The 4,473-nt window shown below is 42.6% G+C and overlaps 1 annotated feature.

The window, feature by feature from the left end:
* Nucleotides 324-958: an enhancer, noted in NCBI's record as "NANOG-H3K27ac-H3K4me1 hESC enhancer chr4:127692753-127693387 (GRCh37/hg19 assembly coordinates)". NCBI's record gives its function as "activates a minimal SCP1, AML or CMV promoter by ChIP-STARR-seq in naive H9 embryonic stem cells {active_cell/tissue: H9 hESC(naive)}" and the evidence as "EXISTENCE:reporter gene assay evidence [ECO:0000049][PMID:30033119]".

The following is a 4,473-nucleotide window of genomic DNA, read 5'->3' as shown; positions in this document are numbered from 1 at the left end:
TTATAAGACTGACTTTTATTTCTAATGTTGCAAAGCTGTTAGTATATATATATATAATACATAATATATAAATATATATATAATACATAATATATAAATATATGTATATATCTTGAGTTTTAATCAGCTACTTGCCCACTACTTAATGAAAACCTGCCTGATAGATGGAGAAACTGAGCTGTGAATGACATCTTACAAGCACCTGGATCCAGTTATACCCCAGAATTTTCAGTTAAATAATAAAATACATGCCTTTTTAAAATGTATTTATCATTCCAATTCTATTTTGTCGAAAAACTAGTTTAAATTTAACTTTACATCTGAAAGAGTACTAATACTATTATACTTTTCTGCCTCTCTTTTTGATTTTATTTATTTATTTATTTATTTTTTAGTATCTATTGGTCATTCTTGGGTGTTTCTCGGAGAGGGGGATTTGGCAGGGTCACAGGACAATAGTGGAGGGGAGGTCAGCAGATAAACATGTGAACAAAGGTCTCTGGTTTTCCTAGGCAGAGGGCCCTGCTGCCTTCCGCAGTGTTTGTGTCCCTGGGTAGTTGAGATTAGGGAGTGGTGATGACTCTTAAGGAGTATGCTGCATTCAAGCATCTGTTTAACAAAGCACAACTTGCACCGCCCTTAATCCATTTAACCCTTAGTGGACACAGCACATGTTTCAGAGAGCACGGAGTTGGGGGTAAGGTTATAGATTAACAGCAGCCCAAGGCAGAAGAATTTTTCCTAGTACAGAACAAAATGGAGTCTCCTATGTCTACTTCTTTCTACACAGAAACAATAACAATCTGATCTCTCTTTCTTTTCCCCACATTTTCCCCTTTTCTATTAGACAAAACCGCCATTGTCATCATGGCCCCTTCTCAATGAGCTGTTGGGTACACCTCCCAGACGGGGTGGCGGCTGGGCAGAGGGGCTCCTCACTTCCTAGACGGGGCTGCCGGGCAGAGGGGCCCCCCCACCTCCCAGACAGGGTGGCGGCTGGGCAGAGGGGCTCCTCACCTCCCAGACGGGGCTGCTGGGCAGAGGGCCCCCCACCTCCCAGACGAGGTGGCGGCCGGGCAGAGGGGCTCCCCACTTCCCAGACCGGGGGGCCGGGCAGAGGCGCCCCCCACCTCCCAGACGGGGCGGCGGCCGGGCATAGACGCTCCTCACTTCCCAGACGGGGTGGCTGCCGGGCAGAGGGGCTCCCCACTTCCCAGACGGGGCGGCCAGTCAGAGACGCTCCTCACCTCCCAGACGGGGTGGCGGTGGGGCAGAGACACTCCTCAGTTCCCAGACGGGGTCGCGGCCGGGCAGAGGTGCTCTTCATATCTCAGACGGGGCGGTGGGGCAGAGGCGCTCCCCACATCCCAGATGATGGGCGGGCGGGCAGAGACGCTCCTCACTTCCTAGACGGGATGACGGCCAGGAAGAGGCGCTCCTCACTTCCCAGACTGGGCGGCCGGGCAGAGGGGCTCCTCACATCCCAGAGGATGGGCGGCCAGGCAGAGATGCTCCTCACCTCCCATACGGGGTGGCGGCCGGGCAGAGGCTGCAATCTCAGCACTTTGGGAGGCCAAGGCAGGAGGCTGGGAGGTGTAGGTTGTAGCGATCCGAGATCATGCCACTGCACTCCAGCCTGGGCAACATTGAGCACTGAGTGAGCAAGACTCCGTCTGCAATCCCGGCACCTCGGGAGGCCAAGGCTGGCAGACCACTCGCGGTCAGGAGCTGGAGACCAGCCCGGCCAACACGGTGAAACCCCATCTCCACCAAAAAATATGAAAACCAGTCAGGTGTGGCGGCGCGCGCCTGCAATCCCAGGCACTCGGCAGGCTGAGGCAGGAGAATCAGGCAGGGAGGCTGCAGTGAGCCAAGATGGCGGCAGTAGTCCAGCCTCGGCTCGGCATCAGAGGGAGACCGTGCAAAGGGGAGACGAGGACCGTGCAAAGGGGAGAGGGGGAGGGGGAGCTCTTTTTGTCATTCAACGTATTGTGATCCTGGGTATCAAAGCTTCTCCTGTTAGTGAAGCAGACAATACAACAAGAAAATTCTTTTGACTTATCAAATGTCTCACTTAAAAAAATAAGCATTAAAAAGTCAGGAAACAACAGGTGCTGGAGAGGATGTGGAGAAATAGGAACACTCTTACACTGTTGGTGGGACTGTAAACTAGTTCAACCATTGTGGAAGTCAGTGTGGCGATTCCTCAGGGATCTAGAACTAGAAATACCATTTGACCCAGCCATCCCATTACTGGGTATATACCCAAAGGACTATAAATCATGCTGCTATAAAGACACATGCAGACGTATGTTTATTGCGGCATTATTCACAATAGCAAAGACTTGGAACCAACCCAAATGTCCAACAATGATAGACTGGATTAAGAAAATGTGGCACATATACACCATGGAATACTATGCAGCCATAAAAAATGATGAGTTCATGTCCTTTGTAGGGACATGGATGAAATTGGAAACCATCATTCTCAGTAAACTATTGCAAGAACAAAAACCAAACACCGCATATTCTCACTCATAGGTGGGAATTGAACAATGAGATCACATGGACACAGGAAGGGGAATATCACACTCTGGGGACTGTGGTGGGGTGGGGGGAGGGGGGAGGGATAGCATTGGGAGATATACCTAATGCTAGATGACGAGTTAATGGGTGCAGCACACCAGCATGGCACATGTATACATATGTAACTAACCTGCACAATGTGCACATGTACCCTAAAACTTAAAGTATAATAAAAAATAAAAATAAAAAAAAAAGCACTCATAATGTTTCAGATTCTCTTTCAGGCATGGTATCAATGCAATACTAGTAAATCAGGTGTGAAACCAGGAAATCACATAAAGAGTGTCCAATAGCATATTTTCTTTTCATAGTTTTCCTAGAAATATCTGAAATATTGGATAGTATTAAAAATCAAAATGCTATCAAACAGCATATGGCTAAGTTGTATAGAAATTGAACTCAGTTTGAAAAATCCATTTACTTGACTAACGACACATATTTTATTTCTTTCTCTAGGCTGGAACAAACTCCTTCTTAACTTCTGTGCATGTCTTGACCTTGCTGTTGCATTCATTATTTCATTTTTATCAAAACCCTTTGCAAACTGAATCGGAGGTAGCCAGGAACTCTCAATGTATCTCCAGTTATTTTCTCCATACACATCCAGAGGCAGTCCTTTCTTATGGGCAATCTACTCGCCACTATAAATTATTAATTGGGACATTTAGAGTGATTACCCAATATAGTTCTCATAAAGCAGTTTTATAATGCAATTTGAATCAAATAATTTTGCCCATAGCCTTTCAGTTTATCAGACAGTTTAGTTCATCTGATTGGTTTAAAGAGTCTTGTACAATAGCTTTGTTGAACAAGGTAGAAATAGGCATTACACCTTCGTCACAAGTTATTCCCTTTAGTTGGCCTCATACTGCTCAATTTTAAGCATCAGCTATCCAAACTACTCAGTATCCTTTTTGAGGATAAATAGGGAAATTTATATCAAACAATATTGGCTGTAAAATCTTAGAAAAACTGTACAAACTTAAGAAATTTTTTTTTTGTTTTGCAACAATTAAGAGATTACTGGATTATCTGTTCATATTTGCTGTAAAAAAAAGATCACTGGAAATCATTTTTGTAGAATATTGTATCTTTCAACAGCTTGAATTACATAAAATAGTACTTTCTTTTGGATTAGTTCATTATGTTTTTTATAACTGATTGTTGAAAATGGTTATTTGTGTATAGCATACATTGTTATATAAAAATCAATACTGAAAGCTTTAGTTGTAGTTTTCTAAACTTGCTATTTTGGTTGAATGATGTGTTTTCCATGATTTGATTTAGACTTCTACTGAGATCCACTGAATGATTCTTCAATTGAGCATACCTTTATCCAGTATTTATGAATAATATCAAAAGACAAGGCTACTACAAAACTGTAAACCATTCTTCATTCTAAGGAAATTTAATATTTAAAATATCCTCAATATTGATGACACAACTTATTTTTCTGTTTCATGGCCTAAGTTAATTATCTAACTTTTTCAAGGTCTGACAAACTGAAGTCTTTGGGATCAAATTGAATTGGATGGGGATTTGGGTGGATCAACTCAAAATCACTTATGGGACACATACATAAACATATACACATACTCAAATATACAAACTCAGAAGATTTTATGATCTTCTGAGCATGGATCAGCAAAAGTCAAAACTTTAGTATGTGGAATCAAAAAGGTAGACACCTATTTAATGTAACTCGATAGGTGTTAAATTATATTAGCTCTACAAAATTTTCCGAATTATTTTAACTCCTCTCTTGTATAAAGCTCCTCTTCTCAAAGTGAAACACAAACTTAACTGGAGACACAATGTACCATGAAATAGTAGAAGTACTAGGTAACCATGACTTAATCTTCTAGGGAGTTAATTTTATAACAGTAA

Source organism: Homo sapiens, chromosome 4 (genome assembly GCF_000001405.40).
Source record: "Homo sapiens chromosome 4, GRCh38.p14 Primary Assembly".
Lineage (NCBI taxonomy): Eukaryota > Metazoa > Chordata > Mammalia > Primates > Hominidae > Homo > Homo sapiens.
This window is presented reverse-complemented; position numbering and strand designations above follow the sequence as displayed.